Here is a 27,958-nt window from a genome sequence, read left to right as displayed (position 1 = left end):
TGGAATCTTGCCCTGTCACCCAGGCTAGATTGCAGTGGTGTGACCTTGGCTCATTGCAACCTCCACCTCCTGGCAATCAGCCCATTTTGTAATTAGCCCATCCCCCATGGGAATCTCATCTCTCAGTAGAGTGTGGGGATTTTTCCTCCTTACCTTCCAGGTGGCCAAGAGCATGCTTCTTTGATTAAAGCGTGCAGTGAGCCAAGTATCCCTCTGTAACTGTTATTAGCCATCCCTTAAAGTACATTTTGTACCTAATTTTTGCACACCAAGGCTAACAGCTCTCCCATAATGCAGAGTAATTTCTGATACCCCCAAAACTTGGAAAAAAAAAAAAACGTCAGGTAACATAATGTAAAGCTGAACAGAGCCTTAGATTTTGAGAGCGATCTATCCACTTTCAACTCCTGGGGTTCCATGAGGAAAACAGGTTTTTTTTTTTTCCAAAGTGGAAGCTGTTAGAAATTATCTTAAGTTCTCTCATGTGGGCATCAGGAGGGCAAAGTAGAGAAATAATTCAGTTGACTGAGAAGAAAAACAAAAACTTTTTCACAAAAACAACCAATATCCAAGAAGAAAAAAAAAAAAAAAACCAAGGCCTTTTAAAATAATAGAGCTTGGATATCCATTTTTAATTAAGTTGATTTTAACCATAGAGCTCTTTTTAAATTTTTTTTTAAAAATCTCTTATTATCAGACTCTAGCCAGGACAGTCAATATTTCTGGCTTTTGAACTTTGCCACAGGTAACTTCCCATGTGAAATTAATAAGTTTTAGCTAAGGTTACAGCTTAACCATGGACCCATAAGGTGTTTCAAAGAGATGGTAAGCAGCTTCTTTTTACAAGATTTAGAATCTTCCCAAGGGCAGTTTGGAGAAAGAAAAATTCAAGACAGGAAATCGGAAGCTAGCCATTGGGGTGGGGGTGGGACCCTCAAAAAGTGGGAAAGTTAAGTAACAAACCAGAAAGGAATCATTTCCGAAGCCAAGAATTCAACCTGGGCTGCCACTGTCAAAAGACAAAAAGCCTTGTCTACTGAGTTACAACATTCAGCAGGTTCTATTGCTCTTCCCAGAAGGTGCTTAGAGGAGCCAATTTCAAGCTTGCAAAGGCTTTTAATTGCTCAAGATAATTTTTGACTTTTGTCAGCAGTTCCTTCAGAGATCCCCACCATATACAGAAACACACAAAGACAAGACAGACAGAAGAGCTTCCAAATCAAGATCCCTAACCAATAATTTCAGAGTACCCCTTCCAAACTATCCTCCTATTCTCTGCCTGAGAAATCTCCCCTAAATCTTCTGGATTGAGGAGAAGTCTTCCTAACTAAGACTCTTCCTACTAATTAAGGAGAGCCAACTGAGACCCCAAAGGAGCCGAACCAAGACAGACACTCGGTGATGGAGCTGCAGACACATACCACACCATGGGGCTATGGAACCATTTGGGAGAAGGAAGGAGCTGTGGCAGCGCCTAGGATACTCACTGAGCCAGACACCCTGTGATAGGGGAACAGTTATTGGACATCTGCCCAGGATTGTTTCTCCATTGCAATTAAATTCATGCACATTGGGTTGGCAGTGCCCTGTCGGTAGAGACAGTGTCAGAGTCAGCCACCAATCCAAGAGAACTAGGCAGCCGCTTGGGCTGGCCTCTGGATCCATTGCCAGAGGGGTGCTACCAAACCACAGGCAGGTAGCCACAAGAGCAATCCTGGACAAGCCTCCAAATTTGTAACCAACCAACAGGTTCACCTTGCCCTCTGCCTAGACAGAGCCAATTTATCAAGACAGGGGAACTGCAGTGGAGAAAGAGTAATTCACACACAGCTGGCTGTGTGGGAGACTAGAGTTTTATTATTACTCAAAACCCTCTCCCCCAGCGTTCAGGGATCAGTTTTTAAAGATAATTTGGCAGGTAGGGGCTTGGGAAGTGGGGAGTGCTGATTGGTCAGGTTGGAGATGGAATCATGGGGGTCAAAGTGAGGTTTTCTTGCTGTCTTCTGTTCCTGGGTGGGATGGCAGAATTGGTTGAGCCAGAATATGGATCTGGGTGGTGTCAGCTGATTCATTGAGTGCAGAGTCTGCAAAATATTTCAACCACTAATTTTAGGTTTTACAATAGTGATGTTATCCCCAGGAGCAATTTGGGGAGGTTCAGACTCTTGGAGCCAGAAGCTATATGACTCCTAAACCATCATTTCTAATCTTGTAGCTAATTTGTTAGTCCTTCAAAGGCAGACTGGTCCCCAAGCAAGAAGGGGGTCTTTCCGAGAAAGGGCTGTTACCAGTTTTGTTTCAGAGTCAAACCGTAAACTGAATTCCTTCCCAAGGTTATTTCGACCTACACCCAGCAATGAACAAGAACAGCCCAAAGGTTAGATACAAGATGGAGTCAATTAGGTCTGATCTCTTTCACTGTCATAATTTCCTCAGTTATAATTTTTGCAAAGGTGGTTTCACCAGTCTACAAAGTGAATTCCTTTGGCAGGTTCTATACCCTTGTAGGGATCTAGGGAAAAGTTTCCCAGGTTGTTTTGTGATTATGACTGATGGGCTATAAATCGATTTTCTCACAACTCACTCCATGGGTTTTGTTAATTAGCTAAGCAGCTCAGAGAACTCTGGGCAAGACACTTACTGGTTAATTGTAAAGGCTGTTACAAAGGTTATAGATGAAGCGATGCATAGGGCAAGGTATGAGGGAAAGGGCTTAGAGCTTCCATACCCTCTCCAGGAACAACACCCTTCAGGATAGGTATTAGCTATCCTGAAACTCTCCAAAGCCAGTCCATTTGGGTTTTTATGGAAGCCTCATTACATAGGCGTGATTGATTAAATCATTGGCACTGATGATCAAACTAACCTTCAGCCCCTCTCCCTTCCCGAGAGGTTGGAAGTAGGGTTGAGACCCTGTCATCCTACTTTGGTCTCTGCTGACCAACCCCATCCTGAAGCTACTACCTATGGATGCCAGTCATAGTTGAACTCATTAGGATATGAAAAGACTATCACTTTCAAATTCTAAAAATTTTAAAAGTTGTATGCCAGGAAATACATATTTCACAGTATTACAGTCTTACAAGATAATGAAACCATGATCTTTGGGATTGTCTTTTATGCCAGACAGAAATCATCTGTATCTATACTGGACAAAAATCTACAAGTTATAATGTAATTTCACAGATTCTGGATGTTATTTAATGTAAATATGTCAAGCAAAAAAATACATTCTCCTAGGATGTACATTGGCAAACTTTTTCTCTAAAGAGCCAAATGATAAATATTGTAGACTTTGTGGACCACAAAGTCTTTGTTTTATATTCCTTTTTGTTTTGGTTTTTACAGCCCTTTAAAAATGTAAAAACTATTTTTACCTCAGGGGTTGTATATACAAAATGGTCCAAGGGCTGGATTTGCACAAACCAGTATGGTAGCCACTACCCCATGTGGCTGTCTAAATTGCTTCAGTGAAATTAAGTGCTAGTGGTCACATGTAACTAGTGGCCACCAATTTGGATAGTACAGCTGTAGGACATTTCCATCATTGCAGAAGTTCTTTTGGACAGTGCTGCCCTAAAGTATTAAGTAATCCTTGATTGGGCCTGCTAGAGAATAGTGTGATATTGAGGCTGGGCACAGTGACTCACACCTGCAATCCCAACACATTGGGAGGTCGAGGCAGGTGGATCACTTGAGGTCAGGAGTTCGAGACCAGCCTGGCCAATATGGTGAAACCCCGTCTCTACTAAAAATACAAAAATTAGCCAGGCATGGTGGCGGGTGCCTGTAATCCCAACTACTTGGGAGGCTGAGGCAGGAGAATCACTTGAACCTGAGAGGCGAAGGTTGCCATGAGCCAAGATCCTGCCATTGCACCCCAGCCTGGGCGACAAGAATGAAACTTCATCTCCAAAAAAAAAAAAAAAAGAAAACATAGTATGACATTGAAAGAACATGCTGCCATTTTTTTTACCTTATTTTCAGGATTTTTGTAATTTTTGTTCATTGCGTCCCCTTCTATATAACATCTGGAGATTATTCTTGATATCACACCCACACAGTAGCGTCTTTGTATTTGGGTGATGGTAAGATGTATTAGTAGCTAGTGAGGGTAGAGAATTATCCTCAGGAAATTTCATAAGAAATCTTATATTGCATTTTAAATAGCCAGGTGAGATTTTTGCTTATTTTTTGTTTTTATCTGTTCTTATTGGCTCTTCTAAAGCTTGGAAACCAACCTCAAAAAAAAAAAATCAAGAAAACTATCTCTACATATTTCACCTGTAGTGTCTGTACATCTAGATGAATTCCTCTCTCTTCAGAATTCCCAAAATCTGCTAAAATTTCTGACTTTCCAGGAATTGACCTTAATACAGAACAGAAGGCTGAGATCCTGCACCATAGGATAGGCACCAGGCCAGTTTCCTGAGCATGAGTTCAACACATGAACTACAGTTCTTGTTCTTTAATAGTGGCCATTCTATACCTTATTAAATAAAATTCTTATGTAATTCCAGATATGGCCTGGGTTGCACAATCAGTTTGTCTGATTCTCTTCTGGTAAAAAGGGGGCCAAATTCTTAATGATCTTATGCAAGCAGCTGCATATCATGAAAAGTGAAGAGAGCCAGTGAAAGTATTTTTAATTCCTGAATTTTGAGTGTCAAGGAAAACAAGATAACATTTTGAAAGTGTTTTCTTTCCATTTGTAAAAGCATAGCTTGCTAAGTAGAAGGTTAAAAATTAATGAAAAGGGGCTTCTTCCTATACCTGAGAGAAAATAGAACATTGTAAAAAATCAACTATATTTCATATAACTAGAGTTAGATTTCTTTCATTAATTCATTCAGTCATTACATTGTGTTCCACTAGATCTTGGGTTGTCTGCTTCACAAAGGGTCCCAGAAATCTCGACTGAATCCTTTGGTGTAGTCTAGCCTGTTGCTTAAGGGATGTCGCTTATACTCCAAAGTTTGTGTCCATGAGTCAGTTTCTTGAGGTATCAGTAGTCAAGAGTGTCTGGCATAGTCTCTTCTGCAAGACTCTCGGACTGTCATCCTTTGTTGTAGACCCACTTTCTATGCTGTAGTCAGTAGCAGAGGTATAGCACAAGGAAGAGAGGAAAGAAGAAACCACTTGTTAATGACAAGACTGGATAACCATGGTCAGTTTATACAGTAACCAACAAAATCAGGATGGAGGAGAGTTAAAATCTATTGAGGTACAGTACATAACTGTTTCTTAAGATTGGAGCAGTGTTTATTTGAAAGCTAAGAACATATTGTGGGCATTGACAAGGCGCTAAGGCCTTCCATTCTATCTTGTAAAGTGTGTAGTCTCTAAAAAAAAAAATGTTAAAAGTTTTTATCTGTACAAAAGTATCCAGAGAAGACCATGCTTCCTCTTTGATTTGACAGAAACTAATCATGTTGAGCTATTTAAGAAACACAGAATACTCCAAAGAAATTAGTTTTAACATCCTTCTTGTTATAAGGTGATAAAAACAAATCTTTGTGATTTCCCAGGGACCTTTAGGAACCTCCAGAGATAGTTTAGATGTAAAAAACAGAGTTGCATACTACTTAGCAATGGAAAAGGATAAATTACTGGCTGATACATGTAACGATGTGGATTAATCTCAAAACTATTATGCTGCATTTAAGAGCCTTACTAAAAGAGTATATATACTGTTGTAATTCTGCTCTTGTTACGTTATAGACAAGGGTAAACTAATCGTGTAGTTACGGTGAAAAAAAAATCAGAGTAATTAGGAGAAAACAACTGGAAAAAGACATTAAACACAGACTGGGTATTAGATTAAGAAAGTGTTTTGCTGGGTGCAGTAATGACATTGTGGTTATATTAAAAAGAGCATGTGTATGTATGTGGTAAAATTATATACTCGGTAGTTAAGCATGGTGGTGTGCACCTGTGGTGCCAGCTGCTTGGAAGGTTGAGGTGTGAAGATGGTTTGAGGCCAGCATTCTGAGGCTGCAGTGTACTGTGTTCACACCTATGAATGCACACCACCTGGACAACATAGACCCATCTCTAAACAAAAGTGAAAAATTCTGTGTCTGTCTTACTTGGAAATTAATCACATATTCTAAAGAGTAACCATTAATTAATATCAGTCTAGCCAAAGTCTTGAAGTTAATTAATGATCTTGGAAGTTATGCTTATACTGACAACTGAGCAACATCCAACTTCTGGTATCAAAAAGTTTGGCCGGGCGCAGTGGCTCACACCCGTAATCCCAGCACTTTGGGAGGCCGAGGCGGGCGGATCACTTGAGATCAGGAGTTGGAGACCAGCCTGGCCAACGTGATGAAACCTCATCTCTACTAAAAATACAAAAATTAGCTGGGCATGGTGGTGTCTGCCTGTAGTCCCAGCTACTCTGGAGGCTGAGGCAGGATAATTGCTTGAACCCAGGAGTTGGAGGTTGCAGTGAGCCAAGATCATGCCACTGCACGCCAGCTTGGGCAACAGGGTGAGACTTTGTCTCAAAAAAAAAAAGCCAGGCATGATGGCACATGCCTGTAATCCCAGCTACTTGGGAGGATAGGGCTGGAGAATCACTTGAACCCAGGAGGTGGAGGTTGCAGTGAGCCGAGATCACACCACTGCACTCCAGTCTGGGCAACAGAGTGAGACTCCATCTCAAAAAAAAAAAAAAAGTTCGTTACTATTATAATTTTATTTAGTTGAACATATAATTTTATATAATCATTTATTTTTTTTTTAAATAGAGACAGGGTCTCACCATGTTGCCCAGGCTGGTCTTGAGCTCCTGGGCTCAAGCAATCCTCCTGCCTTAGCCTCCCAAATTGCTGGGATTACAGATGTGAGCCACCACACTGGGCCAAATTTTATATTTTTCATAATCATAAATATATATGAGTAATATTAGCTTACCTAATCAGTAAGCCAGTAAAGTATAGGAAGTTTAATCTCTGTGAGAAAAACATTTAAAAAAAAAATGTGTAGGCCGAGTGACGTGACTCACGCCTGTAATCCTAGCACTTTGGGAGGCTGAGTGGGTGGATCATATGAGGTCAGGAGTTCAAGACCAGCCTGACCAACATGGTGAAACCCCATCTCTACTAAAAGTACAAAAAAATTAGCCAGGCATGGTGGCAGGTGCCTGTAATCTCAGCTACTTGGGAGGCTGAGGCAGGAGAATCACTTTAACCCAGGAGGCAGAGGTTGCAGTGAGCCGAAATCATGCCACTTCACTCCAGCCTAAGTGACAAAGCGAGACTCTATCTCAAAGAAAAAAGTATAGATTTATTATATTCTACACTGGTAAAATCAGGGAAAGGACATCTATTTTTAAATTAGTATTAAAATAATAAAATAATACTGATTTGCGTGAGAATTATTTTGATTACACAAATTTGGATTCTTAACAGTGTTTTTGACCTATTGGTTTCTTTGAGTTTTGGAGTTTTTCTATTTGTTGTTATTTTTTAAGAGATGGTAATCTCGCAGTGTGTTATTAGCTGGACTCAGAACTCCTGGGCTCAAATGATCCTCCTGCCTCACCCTCCCAAGTCGCTGGGAATACAGGCATGTATCACTACACCCAGCCTGGGTTTGTTTTTTTTTGTCCTTAAAAGGCTAACATGTTTAAAGTATTACATGTTTAGTTTCATTATGTTGGAGGAATTCTAGAAATATAGATAGAGTTAAGGAAGTTCTTGTAATTATCTGTCAACCAACTAGAGTAGAGATTGTTTGAGAAACTTTATAATCTAATGTATTAATAGCCCTGGGGATATTTCTCATTCATACCGTGAAAAATGAGGCTTTTCTTATAGTCACAAGTGCACAAGAACTTTCAGCTTCAACAGTCTGAATCACAGGTAAAAATAATTGAGAAACACATAACTGGTCCAGATTTCAAAAAGACAGTTCTTTCATTGGTCCCGAAACGTGATCTTGCACTAACAACAACACAGAAAAGACTAAAACCAGATTTTCTTGAGGTGTCTCATCTGACAGAAAATAGATCCCTATTGTCTACCGGACAGATCACCATATGGTCAGACCATAAAATCAGATTCCTAGCCAAGATCAGTTATCAGCCATGCATAGACCAGATTCATGTATACAGAGGGTGCAGTTGAAACTGGCCTAGTGATTTGTATCCACTGGTCTCTGGGCCAGTGTGGACAGGGACATGTGGCTAAGAATCATCAAACGAAAACACATTATCAGAAGAAAAGGAGACAACAGAGAAACAGCAGAAGTAACATTCTCTGGCTGCTTGGTATTCTCTTGGTACTCTGGGAGCCAAAATGAGACATGCTTGGGTTTAAGGAGCTGATGAAGTGCCCTTCTGGGGACACTCAGTTTAGTAGCTCAAGCAGATGAGAGTCCCTTCGGGCATCTGAGTGGGTACTACTCTACTGCCAAAGTGTAAAAATTTTTTTGAAGTTATGTAAGCATGACTTTCAGACAGGTAACTCATAAATGAGGGACCAGCAGGAATGTAGAAATGGTTCAGAGAGCACTTGAAGTTTTCAAATTTATTTATTTTTTAAATTGACAGATAAAATTGTATTTATTATGTATCCATGATGTTTTGAAGTACATAACAATGTGGAATGGTTAAAGCTAGCTAATTAACATGCCTCACATAGATGTGATTTTTGTGGTGAGGACACATATCTATTCTGTTAGTATTTTTCATGACCACAATATATTGTCATTAACTATAGTCACCATGCTGTACAATAGTTCTCTTGAATTTATTCCTCCTATCTAACTGTAATCTTGTGTCCTTTGACCAACATCTCCAGAATCCCTTCCCCAAACTGTGCCAGCCTTGGATAACCACCATTCTTCTCTCTGTTTGTAGGAGACCAACTTTTTTAGATTCCACATACATCATTTGTCTTTCCATGCCTGGCTTATTTCACTTAACCTCATGTTTTCAGGTTTATCTATGATGTTGCAAATACCAGGATTTCCTTTTTTTATTTTTTATGGCTGATAAGCATTCCATTGTTTATATTTACCATATTTTGGTATTTGCAAAAGGGTCCTGGAATCAATCCCCTGCGGACACCAAGGGATGACTATATATAACATTTTCTCTTTTATTATTTTATTTATTTATTTATTTATTGAGACAGGGCCTCACTCTGTCGCCCAGGCTAGAGTGCAGTGATGTGGTCATAGTTAACTGCAGCCTCAAATTACTGGGCTCAAGCAGTTCCCCCACCTCAGCTTCCTGAGTAGATGGGACCACAGGCGAGTTTACCATCATGCCCACCTACTTTTTAAATTGGTTATAGAGATGAGGTCTCCCTATGTTGCTCAGCCTGTTCTCAAATTCCTGAGCTCAAACTCCTGGCCTCCCCAAGTGCTAGGATTACAGGCATGAGCCACTGCCCTCAGCCAGTAATTTTTTTCATGTACAGTGGTCCCCCTTATCTGCTGGGGATACGTTCCAAGACCCCCAGTAGATACCTAAAACCTTGGATGGTACCGAGTCCTATATATACAACGTTTTTTTTCCTATACGTAGATACCCATGATAAAGATTAAATTATACATTAGGCACAATAAAGGATTAACGACAATTACTAATAATAGAAAAATTATAACAGTATACTCTAATAAAAGTTAGTTTCTTATTAAGTGGAGAACTTTCATCTATGCATTTAAAGGAAGCAATTTATTGCTTCTCTTTGGCGTGTCCAAATTGCCAACGTTACTACTCTTGTATTTTGGGATCGTTATTAAGTAAAATAAGGGCAACTTGAAGATGGCCACCTAGATACTGCTACAGTCGATCTGATAACCAAGGCAGCTACTGTCTGTTGGGCAGGTAGTATATACAGCGTGGATATACCAGACAGAGGAATGATTCCAATACTGGATAGCGGAAGATTTCACTGCACTGCTTAGAGGGCACAATTAAAAATTTTTATGAATTGCTTATTTCTGGAGTTTTCTATTTAATATTTTCATAACATGCTTGACCAAGGGTAACTGAAACCACACATAAGGGGGGACTCACTACTGTACCTGTTGGCCATTTGTATATCTTCTTTTGATAAATGTGTCTATTCAAATCTTTTGCTCATTTTTTAATTGGATTGTTGTCTTGCTCTTGTTGTTTTGAGTTCCTTTTATATTTTTGGATATTAACCTCTTATGTGTATAGTTTGCAAATATTTTCTCTCATTCTGTAGGTAATCTCTGTTGATTGGCTTCTTGCTTGTCCAGAGGTTTTTATTTGATGTAATTCTGTTAGTCTATTTTTGTTTTTGTAGCCTCTGCTTTTGTGGTTGTATTTTAAAAAAATCATTGTCCAGACCAATGTCGTGAAGCTTTTCCTCTATGTTTTCATCTAGTAGTTTCATAGTTTGGAGTCTTAACCTTTAAGTCTTTAATCCATCTTTAGTTGATTATTGTATATGATGCGAGATAAGGATCTAATATCATTCTTTTGCATGTGGTTGTATACTTTTCCCAATATATTTATTGAAGAGATTGTCCTGGGATATCATTCCATTTATTTGTGTCTTCAATTTCTTTTGTCAGTGTTTTCGTTTTCTGTGTAAAGATTTTTGAACTCCTTGGTTAAATTTATTCCTAAGTAGTTCACTGTTAGTTTAGAAACACTACTGATTTTTGTGTTGATTTTGTATTCTGCAACTTTATGGAATTCAATAATTCTGGGGGTTTTTTTGGTGGACTGTTAGGGGTTTCCTATATAGTAAAATCATGTCATCTGGGAACAGTTTAACTTTTTTCTTTCTAGTGTGGATGTCTTATATTTCTCTTGCCTAATTGCTCTAAAACTTTGAATACCATATTGAAAGAGCGGGCTTCTTTGTCTTGTTCCAGATCTTACAGGAAGAGCCTTAAATTTTTCTTCACTGAGTATGTTATGAGTTGCAGATTTATCATATGTGGCATTTATTGTGTTGAAGTGTTGGGATTTTTTTTTTTTTATCATGAAAAGGCATGGGATTTTATCAAATGCTTTTTTGGCATTCATTGAACTGATCATATGGCTTTTGTTTTTCATTCTGTTAATGTAATGTATCCTGTTTTTTCATTTGCATTTGTATTTGTTCAGCCATCCTTGCATTCCTTGGATGAATCCTACTTGATTATAGTGAATGATCTTTTTAATGTGTTATTGAATTCTCTTTGCTATTACAGTAGTCTCTTGTCATTTGTGGGTGATTGGTTCCAGGATCTCTCACGGATATGAAAATCTGCAGCTACTCAGGTCCCTGGTATAAAATGGTATAGTGTTTGCGTATAATCTATGTATATTTTCCTGTATACTTAAATCATCTTGAGATGATTTGACCTCCTTGACCTACTTATAATGCCTTATACAATGTAAATGTGATATAAATAGTTATATTGTATTCTTTAGGGAATAATGACAGGAAAAAAGTCTGTACATGTCCAGGACAAATGTAATTTTTTTTCTGAGTATTTTCAATCTGTGGTTGGTTGAATCCATGGATGCGGAAACCACAGATAGAGAAGGCCAACTATATTTTGTTGAAGGTTTTTGTATCTGTGTTCATCAGGGATATTGGCCTGCAGTTTTCTTTTTTTGTTTTATCCTCATCTGGTTTTGGTACCAGGGTAATGCTGGCCTCAAAAATGAATTTGGAAGTATTTCCTCCTCTTCAGTTTTTTGGAAGAGTTTGAGAAGAATTGACATTAGTTCTTCTTTAAATGTTTGGTAGAATTCAGCAGTGAAGCAAGCCATCAGTTCCTGGGCTTTTCTTTGATAGGAGACTTCTTATTACTGATTTAGTCTCACTCATTATTAGTCTCTTCAGGTTTTCTATTCCTAATTCAATCTTGGTAGGTTGTATGTGTCAAGGAATTTATCCATTTCTTCTGAGTTATCCAATTTGTTCGTGTATAATTGTTCATAATAGTTTTTTGTGATCTTCTGTAAATCTGCAGTATCAGTTGTCATATCTACTTTTTCATTTCTGATTTTGTCTCCTCTTTTTTCTTAGTCTAGCTAAAGGGTTATGAATTTTTAAAACCTTTTCATAAACAACTCATTTTATTAATATTTTCTATTTTTATAGTCTCTGTTTCATTTATTTCTGCTCTAATCTTTCATTTATTTCTAATCTAATCTTAATTTCCATCTGGATTTTGCCATGTTGCCCAGGCTGGTCTTGAACTGAAAGTGGTGTGTTGATGTTCCTTACAGTTATTGTATTATAGTCTATCCCTTCAAATCTATTAATATTTGCCTTATGTATTTGAGTGTGTACATATATATATATATGTATGTATAGTTGTTATACTGTCATGCTGAATTGACCCCTTTAATATTTTATAATGACTTTGTTTCTTCTAATAGTTTTTGACTTACAGTTTATTTTATCTGATATAAGTATAGCTACGCCTGCTTTCTTTTGGTTTTCCATTCACATGAAATACCTTTTTCCATCCCTTCACCTTCAGTCTGTGTGACCCTACTGGTGAAGTGAGTCTCTTGCAGGCAGCATATACTTGGATCTTTTTTTTTTTTTGTCATTTTTCTTTTTCTATTTATATTCAAGGTTATTATTGGAATACAGTTGCTTGGTTAGATACAGATTGGCTAATATCTTACAGAGCAACAACATTGTAACCTTTTGGGTTATTTTTCTAGCAGACTGAGATAGTTGGCATCTCTACTGGACAGAAATCTACATTTGAATGCATAGCTTCACAGTCTAGACCCTAACCAATAATGAATAATGTGTTAGGCAAAGGTGTATTTCCTAGAGAATTAAATAATCTTTGAGTAGGCCTAAGAGAGTACTCCCTTATATTTGAAAGGCCATTCTTTTCCCTTATTTAGAAGTATTTGATAATTTTATTTAACTTTATTCAAACTACTAAAATGAAACTCCCTTCCCCCCTTTTTGGCCATTCTTTCCCTCTTAAACAATGTTAACCACATCATTGATAACTAGGCTGGATGTCAGCCTGTGTTCCTGAACCTCCTAATTCCTGTTCTGACATGTTCTTGTTAGACATTTATTGATTAGTTCAGGGTTTCTCATCTGACATTTTGGACAGATCATTGTTGTGGGGGCTGTACTGTGTATTGTAGGATATTTAGTAGCTTTTCTGGCCTCTACCCTCTAGTTGCCAAGAGCATCCTCTTGGTTGTGACAACCAGCAATGTCTCTTGGCATTGTCAAATGTCTCTTGGCATTGTCAAATGCCCCAAGGAAGGGCAAAATCTCACCTAGCTGAGAACCATAGTTAAATGACCAAGGCCAGTCCCCACTCTTAATATAATACATTTACAATCTAATAGAGCTGTGATAAATGCTATAGTTTAAATAATAAGATACTGTTACGTATAGAAAGCAGAGATTAATACACTTTGGATTTCTTAGAAGGTACTTTTGGATTAGAGTGGAAGGAAGAAAAGTTTAAACTAGGTTATAGAAATAAGCACATTAAAGTCTAGACTGCAGGGACTTTGAATATTGTTCTCAGAATCTTGAACATTAATCCTACACGATGAAGAGCTTTAGAAAGTTTTTGAGCAAGGAAGTGAAATTGGTACGTTTTCAGAACTTTGGTACTGTAACAGAGGAGTGGAGTGTGGTAAAACTGACAGTAGGAAGAAGAGTTTAGAATTAGTTGCCATGTTCACAAGACTCAGTGCCCACATCACTGAAAGGCAACTTGGGCCAAGGATGGAGTGGAAGAGAGCTGTGAGCTCTGATTCAGAACTGTTAAGTTTGAGGCACGTGTGGGATAACCAGGCGGAAGTGCTCAGGGAGTAGTCTTGCAGCCTAAAAAAATGTTAATAGTTGCTTCTTCTTTGAGAAAACATCAAATGGCGGATGACGCCAGTGTAGCTAGGGCTGGTGAGGGGGCAAGGGGTGCAGGAGTGCGACCCAGAGCCCCTGGGGGTCCTGGGATGAGGAACTGCAGAGGCTTCCGCATTGGCATCTGGGGCTAGGGCCTCAGCCAAGGACAAGAAATATATGCCCATTACCAAGCTGGGCCACCTGGTCAAGAACATGAAGATCAAGTCCCTGGAGGAAATCCATCTCTTCTCCCTGCCCATCAAGGAGTCTAAGATCATTGACTTTTAACTGGGGGCTCTCTCAAGGATGAGGTTTTGAAGATTATGCCAATGCAGAAGCACACGTGCATCAGCCAGCACATCAGGTTCAAGGCATTTGTTGCCTTCAGGGACTAGAACGGTCACGTCTAGTGTGGGTGTTAAGTGTTCCAAGGAGATGCCGTCCGAGGGGCCATCATTCTGGCCAAGCTTTTCATTGTTCCCGTGCACAGAGGTTACTGGGGGAACAAGATCAGCAAGCCCCACACCATCCCTTGCAAGGTGACAGGCCACTGCAGCTCTGTGCTTGTGCGCCTCATCCCTGCGCCCAGGGGCACTGGTGTCATCTCGGCCCCGGTACCCAAGAAGCTGCTGCTGGTGGCTGGTATTGATGATTGCTACACCTCAGCCAGGAGCTGCACTGCCACCCTGGGCAACTTTGCCAAGACCACCTTTGATGCCATCTCCAAGACCTACAGCTGCCTGACCCCCGACCTCTGGAAGAAGACTGTGTTCACCAAGTCTCCCTATGAGGAATTCACTGACCACCTCGTCAAGACCCACACCAGAGTCTCCATGCAAAGGACCCAGGCTGCAGCTGTGGCTGCAACATAGGGGTTTTATACAAGAAAAATAAAGTGAATTATGCCTGTTAAGAAATGTTAGAGGTTAAAGGTGGAGATTTGGAGTTATCACCAGAACAGTAAAATTTAGGATTGCAGCTTGAAGAGTCTATGAAAGTATAGTTGAGGGAGAGGACCAGGAAAGAATTTTGGGAAATTTAAGGAGCAATAGAGAAAGAAAGCAAAAAACACAAAAAAAACAAAAACTGGGGGCACTAGTCAAAGGTAGGAAGTATCTCAGAAGAGTGGAGAGGAAAGAACTTGTCATGGGGAAGTTGGTCATGTTACATACAGTCCAAGCAGAATGAATACAAAGGAGGAGACTTTGGGCTTGGCATTAGTCATCATTGTTGGCATTCAACAAAGTGGTTTTGGTTTGAATGGGGGCAGATGAGGAAGGCAAGGGATTGCCAGTGAAATGGGGCTTGGGCTACCTTTTTCAAAAAGTGTGAAGCCAGGCCTAGTGGCTTACACCTTTAATCATAGCACTTTGAGAGGCTGAGGCAGGAGGATTGCTTGAGGCCAGGAGTTTGAGGCTGCAGTGAGCTGTGATCACACCTCTGCACTCTAACCTGGTCAGCAGAGCAAAACCCTGTCTCTAAAATAAAAGTGTGAAGATGAAAGGACAGAAATGGGGTAGTTCCACGCATCAGCAGTGGATTTGAAGGAAGCTTTCTGTAGGATGTGGGAAATCCAAGCGTGTTTGTAGGCAGAGGGGCAGCAGTGGGTAAACAGAGAAGTGATGAAGCCTGAGATAAGGCAGAATGCAAAGACATGACTTTGAAAAAGTAGGAAGGAGAAGGAAGTCATGAAAGGTAGAATTTTTAGATGAAATGGAGGAGAAGTCAAAGGGATTCACACATACTGACTTCTGGGCTCTGATCAAATATACTTTTTATTAAGAATGAGAAGAATGACAACAGACATGAGATTTGGGAACTTGAAGAGGTTCTTTGGATAAGAGTGAAGAAAAAATCAGGAGAGCTGGAAGTTTTTGAAGCTGTCAAATTGTGGAGATTTACAGATGTAGTAGGGATAGCGTCTAGAGTAGACACAGTATGGCAGCTGGTCCTGTCTCTAGGAGTACACTCAGTATGACCATGCAGGGAAGTCCTTTCCTATGGGGCAGATAAGCACCCTTCCAGGAATGAACTTCATAGACATTTTAGAGATGAGGTTAAAGAAAAAGATGGAACAGACAGCAAATGTTGAAATTATATTGGGGGAAAATGGCTAATAAAGGCATTATTAATTTGATAGCAATCTTACTAATATAGATGGCTAGAGACCTAAAATAGACCTGTTATAGACTTACAGATTAATGATTAAAAATTTGTTTTTTTTCTGAGGCTTTTGTGGTACTTCTAATTCATGTTTATGCTGTAGGACTCACGTTAATGTCTGAAAGTCATATTCTCCTTTTCTCTTAGAGATAATACAGAACACCTCTTATGAAAGAGTCTCCTAAAAAAAAAAAATAGCATACTAAAGTGTGCATCCAGCATTGAGAACTACTGGTCTGAACCATTTTAGAAATCCCTCCTTAATATTTTGAGTTTCCTTGCATGTGTAGTTTCTCTTTTCCCAGTGACTTGTGGTTGACTTGAACATCTTATGTTGTGCCATGGTGGAGTGATGCTCCTTGCAGCTGGCAAGTATGTCATACCTACCCCCATGGTAGCTGGTCTTGGGCTGCTGTGGTTTTTAACCGTTGTGTCTGCCTTGAATTTGTTTTTCGCTCTGTTTGTCCATTGCCATTTGCTCTCGTGTGCTCTTCAGGTAGCACTCAGTGCTGCCCCTTCTACACTTAAGAGTCAGCTGCTTCTGAGAATATGCAGCCTGGGTGAAGCTGGCCGAGCCCCTTTAGTGTATGCCAATACTAAAAAGTACAAGATGCTGAGTAGTGGTGTGAAGAAACATTTCCCCAGGTCAAACCTGCATACTCTTGAGCCCCTGCTTTGGTCATTTCTGGTTTTAGCTGTGTTTTGAATGGTAGAAGTTGCCGGGAACTCCTCTCTGGATTTGTGAAATGTTATGATAGAGTTGAGAAAAACTGAGTTTATAAAAGGTAGAATAATACAAATTCCATGTACCACATAAAAGAAAGTTAACTTATATATCATGTATATCATGCCCCTCCCCCTTTTTTCTTAAAAGCCTGAGTAAAGTAAAACAGAATAAGAACATTGTAGGATGGGGGAGATATTTTTAACTAACATTAAAAATGTCCAGATACCAAGTACAGCCAATTCAAATGATGGATATTTGGACTGCATTATCTTTCTTATGAGTGTAAGTAGTGGCCAAACATCTCAAACTTAATAATGCTGTATACTTTATTGTTCACTTCTGAACTCGAATATAATAATCCGTTGTTGCTACTCAGTACTTCAGAAGAGTAAGTTGTTATTGAAATCTGAATCTTAGGGGATAATTGTTTTGGGGACACCAAAAAAAATGGGTTTGTGCATGTGAAGCAGTCATAAGCATTTTGCACAGCTCTTTCCCAAAACTATGCAGTTCATCTTGTAATACTAGTTTTAGTTATATGAGGAATACTGTCAGACAACTCTGTCTGTGGTCAGCCTTTCTCTGCCAGTCTTGCCAGTACTTCCACACTTCCAGCACAGGAGACCCAGGAGCTCTCCTCTGGCCCTCTGTGATGCTTTCAGAGGATCTGACTCTTACTTAATTTTGTAACCCAAACAATGTCTGAACATATTCCCCTGAATATCACTTTCTGTGAAAAGATTGTTGTATATGCTATGAGAAATCAATGGATTTGTTGGTAAATAATACCTCAGATTGAGTATTTTCTAGTATGAAATTTCTGTAAGTTCAAATATATAATACTGACTTAAGTTGATTAAAATGTCGGGAGTTTTGTGATTGTCATTTAAAAAATGACAAAAAATTAAGGTTGTTCACTGGTCTTTCTGCAGTTATCTGTCTCAACCTCCAGTTTAATTTTACGTTTTATTTTGGTTGTATAGTATGGAGAACATTTGAAGTCATACAATTAGTTATAGATTTAACATTTTCAAGCAGCTATTCTTGCATAATAATATTCAATTAAACTAATCCAGAAAAGTAACAGGGAGGTAATAGAAAATGTTTGTTTTGTGGATGAATTACTCAATATTTCATAACTGCTGACATTCCTTATCTCAAATGTCAGATAAGAAACAAGCAAAACTTAAAATTAGGGCCAAAACTATCAGCGACACATCATAGCATGTTATGCATCCACTTGAAAATTTTTTTATTAAAAGTAGAAGGTGGGAAGTGTACCAAAATAATATATACGCATGGTTTAAAACAGAAAATCAAGTAGTACTAAAAGATTTATGTGTACAGCAGCAGTTCCTTGCTTCTAAGCCTCCCTAACTTCCTAGAGGCAACTATTTTTTATTGTTTTTAGCTGTTTGTTCTGATGGTTACCTAAAGAATTATAAATCATAAGCAGTTGACCCTTGAACAACGTGGGTTTGAACTGCACTGGTCTGCTTATATGCAGATTTTTTTCCACCTCTGAAATAGCAAGACCAATCCCCCTCCTCCTCAGCTTATTCAAAGTGAAGGTAAGGATGAAGGCCTTCATGAAGATCCACTTCCACTTAATGAATAGTAAACACATTTTCTCTTCCTTATGAATTTCTTAATGACATTTTCTTTTCTCTAGCTTACTTTATTATGAATACAGTATATAATACATTCAACATACAAAATTATATTAATTGACTGTTTCTGTTATTGGTGAGGCCTCTAATCAACAGTAAGCTATTTGTAGTTAATTTTGAGGGAGTCGAAAAGTTATACATGAATTTTCAATTGTGTTGGGGGAGTGTCGGTACCCCTTATCTGTATTGTTTGGGGGTCAACTATATTGCTGGGGTTTTTTTTGTTTGTTTGTTTTTTGTTTTGAGACAAAGTCTCACTCTGTTACCCAGGCTGGAGTTCAGTTGCATGATCTCAGCTCACTGCAACCTCCGCCTCCCAGGTTCAAGTGATTCTCCTGCCTCAGCCTCCTGAGTAGCTGGGACTACAGTTGTGTGCCACAATGCCCGACTAATTTTTGTATTTTTTAGTAGAGATGGGGTTTCACCATGTTGGCCAGGCTGGTCTTGAACTCCTGACCTCAAACAATCCGCCTGCCTTGGCCTCCCAAAGTGCTGGTTTTATAGGTGTGAGCCACTGTGCCCAGCCTGTACTGCTATTTCTTATCAATTGTAGGCATTATTCACTTTCTTTAAGATAAATGAGACAAAAACTATCCCAGTTTTTCCAATATAGTTATGTTTTTTAGTTACCCAGTGCAGCGCCAAGTACTGTACTACATTTATGGGGGTTTTTTGGTACAACTTTTAATTTTTTCCTGAATTTTCTTTTTTCTTTTTTTTTTTTTTTGAGACAAGGTCTTGCTCTGTTGCCCAGGCTAGAGTGCAGTGGCACATCTCGGGTCACTGCAGCCTGTACCCAGGCTCAGGCAAGTCCTCCCACCTCAGCTTCCTGAGTAGCTGCTACTACAGACATGCACCACCATGCTCGGCTAATTTTTTAACTTTTTGTATTGCCCAGGCTGGCCTCAAACTCCTGAGCTCAAGTGATTCTCCCACCTCAGCCTCCCAAAGTGCTGGAATTATAGATGTGAGCCACCACGCCCAAGCCTTTCCTGAAATTTGTATCTGCCCTGTTTTCATCCACTTGTGAAATGTGTTTTATATCTACCCTTAATACTTTATAAGTATTTATTTATATCTCTATTTAGCATCCTTTTGAGGAGAACAACTCTAAAATCCTCTTCCCTCCTCCAATCCACTGGTTCCTCGGCTTGTCTGCTGCATAGCTATGATGTTTGGACTTCTAGTTGCCACTCTTGGATTGTATAACTAATTATTTCATCTCCCTTATTTTGGTGAATTTCATTGTCAGATACCTGTTTGCTAAGAAAAGAATCCATAGGAGTAATTTTATGGGTCTTTATTCTATATTGTATGCGATATGTAATGTGGATAGGTATAGAATTATAGATTGAAAATCATCTTCCCTTAGAATTTTGGATACATTACTGCCTGCCTGTCCCCCCTCCCCCATCATCCAGAATTGCTTTTGATAATTTGTGACATTCTTACTGTCATTCTTTTGTATGTCCTGTTCCCACCCTGCTCCCAGGATTTTTCTTGTGGGACTTTTGAAAATAATCATGCCTAGGTATTTTGTTTTCCCTTTCAAGATGTTTCTGTCCTTTCGTTCCAAGAAAGTTGTAATTGTTCCACTAATTATGCTTGAGTTCTTATGTATTTTATTTATTTATTTAGAGACAGGGTCTCACCCTATCACCTTGGCTGGGGTGCAGTGGTGCAAACATGGCTCACTGCAGCCTCGACTTCCTGGGCTCAAGTGACCCACTCACCTCAGTCTCCGGGTGGCTGGGACTACAGGCACATGCCACCATGCCTGGCTAATTTTTGTGTTTTTTATAGAGATGGGGTTTCTCCATGTTGCCCAGGCTGGTCTCAAAACTCCTGGCCTCAAGTGATCCACCTACCTCAGCCTCCAAAAGTGATGGGATTAGAGGCTCGTGACCTCACCCAGGCTTCCTGTGTATTCTGGTTCTGGGAAATGATTTTATGTTACTTCTGTATTAATTGCCATTCTCTTTTTGAAATGCTAGTTATTTGGATTTGGGATATCCTAGGTGGACCTTTAAGGCCTCTTTCCTTATTTTTCCCGTTTCTTTGTTTTCATGGTACTTTTAGAAAGGTTTCTTCCCCTTTGTCTTTCAGTTTTTCTATTGATTCTTATTTTTGCCATCATATTCTTAATTTGCCCACATTTCTATTCTGATTTCTTTCCTTTTCCTCTTCTTTTTCTTCCTTCCTTTCCCTTCTTTTAGCATCCTGATTCCTGTTCTGTGGGTTCAGTCTCATCTTATATCTGTTTGAAACCACTTACTAAAATTTTGTGAAGGTTTTCTTTTGTGACCTGCATTACCTAGTTTCCTGCAGTTCTCCATGTGATCTGCTTAATTGGTTTCCATCTTTTGTATTCAGGCCTTTGTTCCAGCGTGGGTGCTTTTGATGTTTGACACTAAATCTGAAATGGAAGCTCTGTATCTGGGCAGAATCTGTCATTAGGTGGGCTCTATCTTGGGTCAGATATAGCAATAGCCCCTTTTGAGGGAGCATTTGTTTTGAGGGTCTTTCATCTGGAGAATAAATCTCTCCTCTTCAGCTTGGCTGGTTGTTGCTGGTGGCCCACGGAGGAGATATGATCAACTTTTCCTTATCCAAGTGTCTGCACAGTAATCTCAATAGTATTTGACCCATGTGAATTCATCTATTCACTTACTCATGTTGGATGGGCAGCATCACTTACATTAACAGGCAAGAAGTTTCCAGTTCTGGATAAGATAGAGTAAGCTGCCCAGGCACAGTGGCTCACGCCTTTAATACCGGCACTTTGGGAGGCCGAGGCAGAAGGATCCCTTGAAACCAGGAGTTCTAGACCAGCCTGGCCAACATGGTGAAACGCTGTCTCTACTAAAAATAGAAAAATTAGCCACGTGAGGTGGCACACACCTGTAATCCCAGCTATTCGGGAGGCCAAGACAGGAGAATCACTTGAACTCAGTGCCACTGCACTCCAGGCTGGGTGACAGAGTGAGACTCTTATCTCAAAAAAAGTTTAGCAAGATTGCTGAATATTATATCAATTTAAAAAAAAGAGTAAGCATACTCCACCCTGTCAGTCCTACTGAATACAGCAGTAAAACCCGGGCAGAATGCATACAGCAACTATTTGAGGGCCCTGAAAAATAAATAATAGCAGGCAGATTTAGAACAAAGACCAGAATTTAAAGTACCACCAGCTGGGCGCAGTGGCGTATGCCTGTAATCCCAGCGCTTTGGGAGGCCGAAATGGGTGGATCACCTGAGCTCAGGAGTTCCAGACCACCCTGGGCAATATGGTGAAACCCCATCTCTACTAAAATACAAAACATTAGCTGGGCATGGTGGCACGTGCCTGTAGTCCCAGCTACCCAGGAGGCTGTGGCATGAGAATTTTCTTGAGTCCCAGAGGCAGAGTTTGCAGTGAGCCGAGATCATGCCACTGCACTCCAGCTTGGGCTACAGAGTGAGACTCCGTCTCAAAAAAGAAAAGAAAAAGTATCACCAAACCAGCAGTGAGTTTACCATTTGTTCCCCTCATTAATCCTCCAGCATGAACACAACACAGCTCCACCTGGAAGTGGAAATGGGCACCAGGACACACCAGGAAAAGCCTTCTGGTTTCAGCCCAAGGGACAGAAAAGGAAACATCTAAAACCGAGAGTGAGCCCACCCCCACCCCTTTTTTTTCTTCTTTATTCTCATGTAACCCAGCCCCAAGTAATCATGTGGTGGCAATCGAAGCTTGCAGGAACCAAAATTCCAACGTAGGAGAACCTTTCTCTCTAATTGGAGTTGTGGTCTCCATTGATTTTTCTCTCTGTGTGTCCTAGCTGGATCCAAGCCCAGTTGCAGAGGTACAAGGCAGTGGGTTAATTAAAAGCCCCATCTTTCTAGGTGGAGGACCAAAGGGAGAGCCCCAGGAAACCAGAAAGCACCAGGTAGATGGCAGAGAGGGAGGAGTTCAGGAAAGTGAGCCACGAAGTTGTTCATGATCCCCTTGGCTCATCCCCAAGGTACACGTGCATGGATCTGTTCCTCATCAGCATAAGAAAGGCTTTTGAGAATTGAATTAACAAAAAGACCACCATCCAAGTCCCAGAATGGCTACACAGTGGCATACATGTGGGATAGATATATAGCATTGCAGGCCAGGCATGGTGGCTCATGCCTATAATCCCAGCACTTTGAGAGGCCAAGGCAGGTGGATTGCTTGAGCCCAGCGGTGAGTTCAAGGCCAGCCTGGGCAACATGGAGAAACCCTATCTCTTCAAAAAATACAAAAATTAGCCAGGCGTGGTGGCATGTGCCTGTGTTCTCAGCTACTTGGGAGGCTGAGGAGGGTGGATCACTTGAACCAGTAGGTTGAGGCTGCAGTGAGCTATGATGGCACCACTGCACTCCAGCCTAGGTGACAAGAGCAAGACCCTGTCTCAAAAATAAAAATTAAATAATAGCATTGCAGGGCTTTGAAAACTGAACTGATATTGGAACCACAGCTCAGAAGACAGGTTGCAGCTTGCAGCCTGAATCTAATTACGTCAACTATCTGCTAAAACAAAAGTTTCAGTATTTGTAAGATTTAAACAAGATTGAAGGTTTCAAAACGTAATTTTGCATTGTTCAAAATGGATATAATTCAAAATTGGCATATAAAGGGGTAGGAAAATCTCAACTCTTATAGGAAAAGACAGCAGTGCTGAGATGACATAGATGTTGCAATTATTTGACAAAAGACTGAAATATTCAACCGGCAACTGAAAACACTCCACAGGCAATCCCAAATACTCTTAAAACCATTAGAAAAAGTAAGTTTCAGCAAAGAAATAGAAGATAGAGGAACCAAATGGCAAAAGCATGTGATGCTGAAAAAGTATTTGAAGAAATAACTGCTGAAGACATTTCAAGTTTGGCAAAAGATATAAACATGATGATTCAAGAAGCTCACGGAACACAACCAGAATAAACCCAAAGATTTGCACACCCAGACACATCGAAAGCACACTGCTGAAAACTGAGAACGTAAAAATCATGCAAGCATCCAGAGAAAAGCATACCACATGTGGAGGAACAACAATTCAAATGACTGTGACTTATCAGAAACTGCGAAGGACAGAAGAAAGTGGCACAATATTTTTTAAGTGATGAAAGACAAGAAATGTTAACCCATTTTCTTCTATTCTCAGTTTGCTGGGGAAGAAAAAAATGTTAACCCAGAATTCTCTATCCAGTGAAATTATCCTTCAAGAATGAAAATGAAATAAAGCATTCTCAGTTGAAGAAAAACTAAAGATAAATTATTGCCCATAGTCTACACTGAACAGTCTATTCCTTAGGTATTCTCCTAAGGAAAGTTCTTCAGATATAAATGGTAAATATCTGGGTAAATGTAATAGGTTACTTTCTCCTCTTGATTTCTTTAAAATGAGTTTCATACATTGAAAGAAAAATTATAATGTTGTCTGATGGGGTTTCAAATGCATGTAAATATAATGTATGAGATCACTGTAACCTAACATTGGGAGAGAGGAAAGGAACCCAGGAATAAAGAAACTAGTATGCTGGTGTCCTAAAATTTTTACCAACGGGATTTGAATTTATGGAGGTGACAACACGGGTCAGTGCCAGTGAAAGAATTTACTACTTACATTTGCTGAGAGAAGGGGACATGCCATGCCATGCAGGACCACAGGGAAAGCATCAGGGTTTGGTCAGGAGGCAGAAGCAGGCCAGAGGAAAGCCTAAGCCAGAGACTTTATTGGGGCTTCTGTGGGAAAGGGAAGGCAGGGTGAGGTAAACAGTTTAGGATTAGATAGTTTGAATAATTCTCATAGGCTCTGTAGGGACTGTCTCTGGTTGTCTGGTACCTGGCCTTAGGTTGATTTAGTGCAGGGGAAATATTGGCTTGGTATGTGAGAGTTTAAGAGATGAGAGGGAGCATAGCATTGGGTCAAGCAGTCTACACCTAAAAGGCATTCTCCAGACAAGCTGGGGACCACCCCTAGGAATTAGCTGGCTCTGGAAGGGGCAGCCTCTCTCATGGTCTGAAAGGTCCCCCAAGATGTCAAAACATCATATAGAAAATAAGAAACATGATTAATATAAGTGGTATAGTTTTATGAAATGATAGAATATTGATGATAAGTAGGCTGTGAAAAGAATGTTGTAATCAGTGGCATCACCACTTAAAAACTATATGAAGAGATATAGATAAAAATGCAGTAGGGGCCGAGCATGGTGGCTCTCACCTGTAATCCCAGCACTTTGGGAGGCTGAGGTGGGTGGATCAGTTGAGCCCAGAAGTTCGAGACCAGCCTGGCAAACATAGCAAAACCCCGTTTCTACTAAAAATACAAAAAATTAACCAGGTGTGGTGGTGTGCACCTGTAATCCCAGCTACTCAGGAGGCTGAGGTACAAGAATCGCTTGAACCTAGGAGATGGAGGTTGCAGTGAGCCAAGATCTGCGTGCCACTGCACTCAAGCCTGGGCAACAGAGCAAGACTCTGTCTCACAAAGAAAAAAATGCAGTAGGTAAATTATTATACTAAGTGTTTGTATAATGCAAAAGAAGGCAAGATAGAACAGGAATCAAATATAGGAAGCAAGCAGAAAACAAGTAAAATGGTAGACAGATTTGCCAATAATTACATTAAATGTAAATCAACACTCCAATTAAAAGACAGGCACCGTCAGTGGATTAAAAACATATAATGAAATTATCTGGTGTCTTCAAGAAACTGAATTCAAATATTACAGGTAAGTAAAATGTAAAAGGAGGAGGAAAGACATGTGCCATGCAAACATTATTTAAAAGAAAGCTGGATTGTCAATATTACTATCAGTAGCCTTCAGAGCAAAGAAAGTTACCAGAGATTAAGAGAGACACTACATAATGGCAAGAGGGTCAATTCAAGAAGACATTATGTAACAGTGCTAAATCTTTATATTCCTATCAGTAGAGCTGCAAAATATGTGAACCAAAAACTGGCAGAACTGAAAGGAGAACTTGATAAATCCACAGTTACAGTTGGAGACTTCAACACCCTTCTCTCAACAGTTGATGGAACCATTAAACAGAAAATAAATGAGGATCTAGAGGAACTCAGCACCACCATCAACCAGCCAGGTTCTAATACACATCTATAAAACATCCCACTCAACAACATCAGAGTACACATTCTTTATGAGCACCCATAGAACTATCAAGATAGACCTTATCCTGGGCTACAAAACAGTGCTCAATAAATTTAAAATAATTGAAATCATACAGTGTTTTGACCACAAAGAGATCCAACTAAAAATCACCAACAGAAGGATAGCAGGAAATCTTCAAAAACTTAAAAACTAAGTAACACTTCTAAATTTACGAGTCAAAGGGAAATTTTGAAAAATATATTGAACTAAATGAAAATGCAGCATATCAAAGTTTCAGGATGCCACTAAAGCGGTGCTGAAAGGGAAACTTCTGCCACTTAAATGCTTACATTAGAAAAGAAGAGGCTGGGCCCAGTGGCTCATGCCTGAAATCCCAACACTTTGGGAGGCCAAGGTGGGAGGATTGCTGGAGCCCCAGAGTTTGAGACTAACCTTGACAACATAGCAAGATCTTGCCTCTATAATAATAATAAAAGAAAGAAAAGAAAAGTCTTGATAATTTAAGGTTCAAGGAACTAGAAAAAGAAGAGCAGAATAAGCCCAAAGCAAGCAGAAGGAAAATATAATAAAGAGCAGAAATTAATGAAGTTGAAAACACTGACAATAGAGAAAATCAGTGAAATGAAAGCTTGTTCTTTGAAAAGATCAATAAAATCAACAAGTCTCTTAGCAACACTAACAAAGATGAGAGAAGCTGCAAACTACTAATATCAGGAATGAAACCAGGGTGTCTTTGCAGACATCAAAAAGATAAGAAAACTACAAACAACTCTACATACATAAATTTGATGACTTAGTTGAAATGGACCAATTCCTCAAAAGGCACAAACTGCCATGACTCACTTCATATGAAATAGCTATAAGGCTATTCAAAATTGTCTATTAAGGAAATCGAATTGATAATTTTTGAACCCCTATAAAAGAAATCTCCAGGCCCAGGTTGTTTCACTGGAGAATTCTACAAAATGTCTAAAAAAGAATGAACATCAATTCTACACAGTCTCTTCCAAGAACTGCAAGAGGAGAGAACACTTTCTAACTCATGTATAGCCTGTATTACTCTGATGGTAAACGCAGACAAAAACAGTACCAAAAAGGAAAACTGTAGACCAGAGTCCGTATAGATTCTTAACAAAATATTTGCAAATATAATTCAGCAATATGTGAAAGAATTATACACCATAATCATGTAGGGGTTATTCCAGGGATGCAAGGCTGGTTCAGTATTCAGAAGTCAATGTAACCAACCATATTAACAGGCTTAGGAAGAAAAATAATCACAGGATTATATCAATTGATGGAGTAAAGCATTTGACAAATTTCAACACCCATCCATATTCATGATCCTAGAGAATAGGTAACTTCCTCAATGTGATAAAGAACGTTGGTAAAAACTTTCCCTGTTACATCATTCTTAATGGTGAGAAAGATTGAGTGCTTCCCTGTAGATCATTAACAAGGCAAGCATACCCAGTCTCACCACTGCTCGCCAACATAGTGCTGTACTTCTAGCCACTGCAATAAGGCAAGAAAATAAACGGCATATAAATCAGAAAAGAAGAAATATTTGTAGATGATACAATTGTCTGTGTAGGAATTCCCCAGGAAACTACACATACACACAGATCCTTGAACTTTCAATAGGAATAAGTGAGTTCAGGAAGGTTTCAAGATACATGATTAACATACAGAAATCAATTATATTTGTATATACTAACAGTGGACACATAGAAACCAAAATTTAAAGTACAACACTGTACAATCACTCAGAAAAATAAAATTCTTAAAACGTGAAATCTAGCAAAACATGTACAGGATTTGTATTCTCAAAACTCAAAAGGCTAATGAAAGAAAGCAAATGAAATCTAAATAAATGGAGAGAAATACCAGGTTCATGGATCAGGAGACTCAGCAGATGTCAGTTATGCTCAGATTCATGTCACTTGCTGACACATAATTGTCAGCACAATTGCTGATAAAATTCCAGCAAGATATTTTGCAGACACAGACAAAATTATTCTAAAATGTGTATGGGAAGACAAAGGAACTGGAATAATTAAAGCAATTTTAAAAATTATAAAGAGGGAGCAAATCATTACCCAATTTTAAGAAATTATAGAGTTACAGTAATCAAAACGGTGTGGTCTTGATGAAGGGATAGATTTACACAGATTGGAACAGAATAGGGAACTCACAAGTAGTTCCACACAAGTATGGCAAAGTGATTTTTTGACAAAAGTGCAATTCAGTAGTGAAAGAATAGCCTTTTCAAGAAATGGTGCTAGAGCAATATTATACCTATAGGCAAAAATGTGAAGCTCAAGCTAACCCTCACACCTTCTTTTAAAATGTACTAAAAATGGATCATAGGTTTAAATGTAAAACTTAGACGATAACATTGGAGAGGTCTTCAGTACCCCA

General features: G+C 39.4%; 1 protein-coding gene and 1 pseudogene across 3 annotated transcripts in view; both read left to right on the top strand.

Moving 5' to 3' along the window:
• The window catches only part of N4BP1 (NEDD4 binding protein 1), a 71,455-nt gene that overhangs the window by 17,956 nt on the left and 25,541 nt on the right, over window positions 1-27,958 (top strand). The window lies entirely within an intron of this gene.
• RPS2P44 (ribosomal protein S2 pseudogene 44) lies at window positions 13,833-14,741 on the top strand (annotated as a pseudogene).

This window comes from Homo sapiens, chromosome 16 (genome assembly GCF_000001405.40).
Source record: "Homo sapiens chromosome 16, GRCh38.p14 Primary Assembly".
Lineage (NCBI taxonomy): Eukaryota > Metazoa > Chordata > Mammalia > Primates > Hominidae > Homo > Homo sapiens.
Note: the sequence above shows the minus strand (reverse complement) of the source record. Positions and strands in the feature narration are given on the sequence as shown.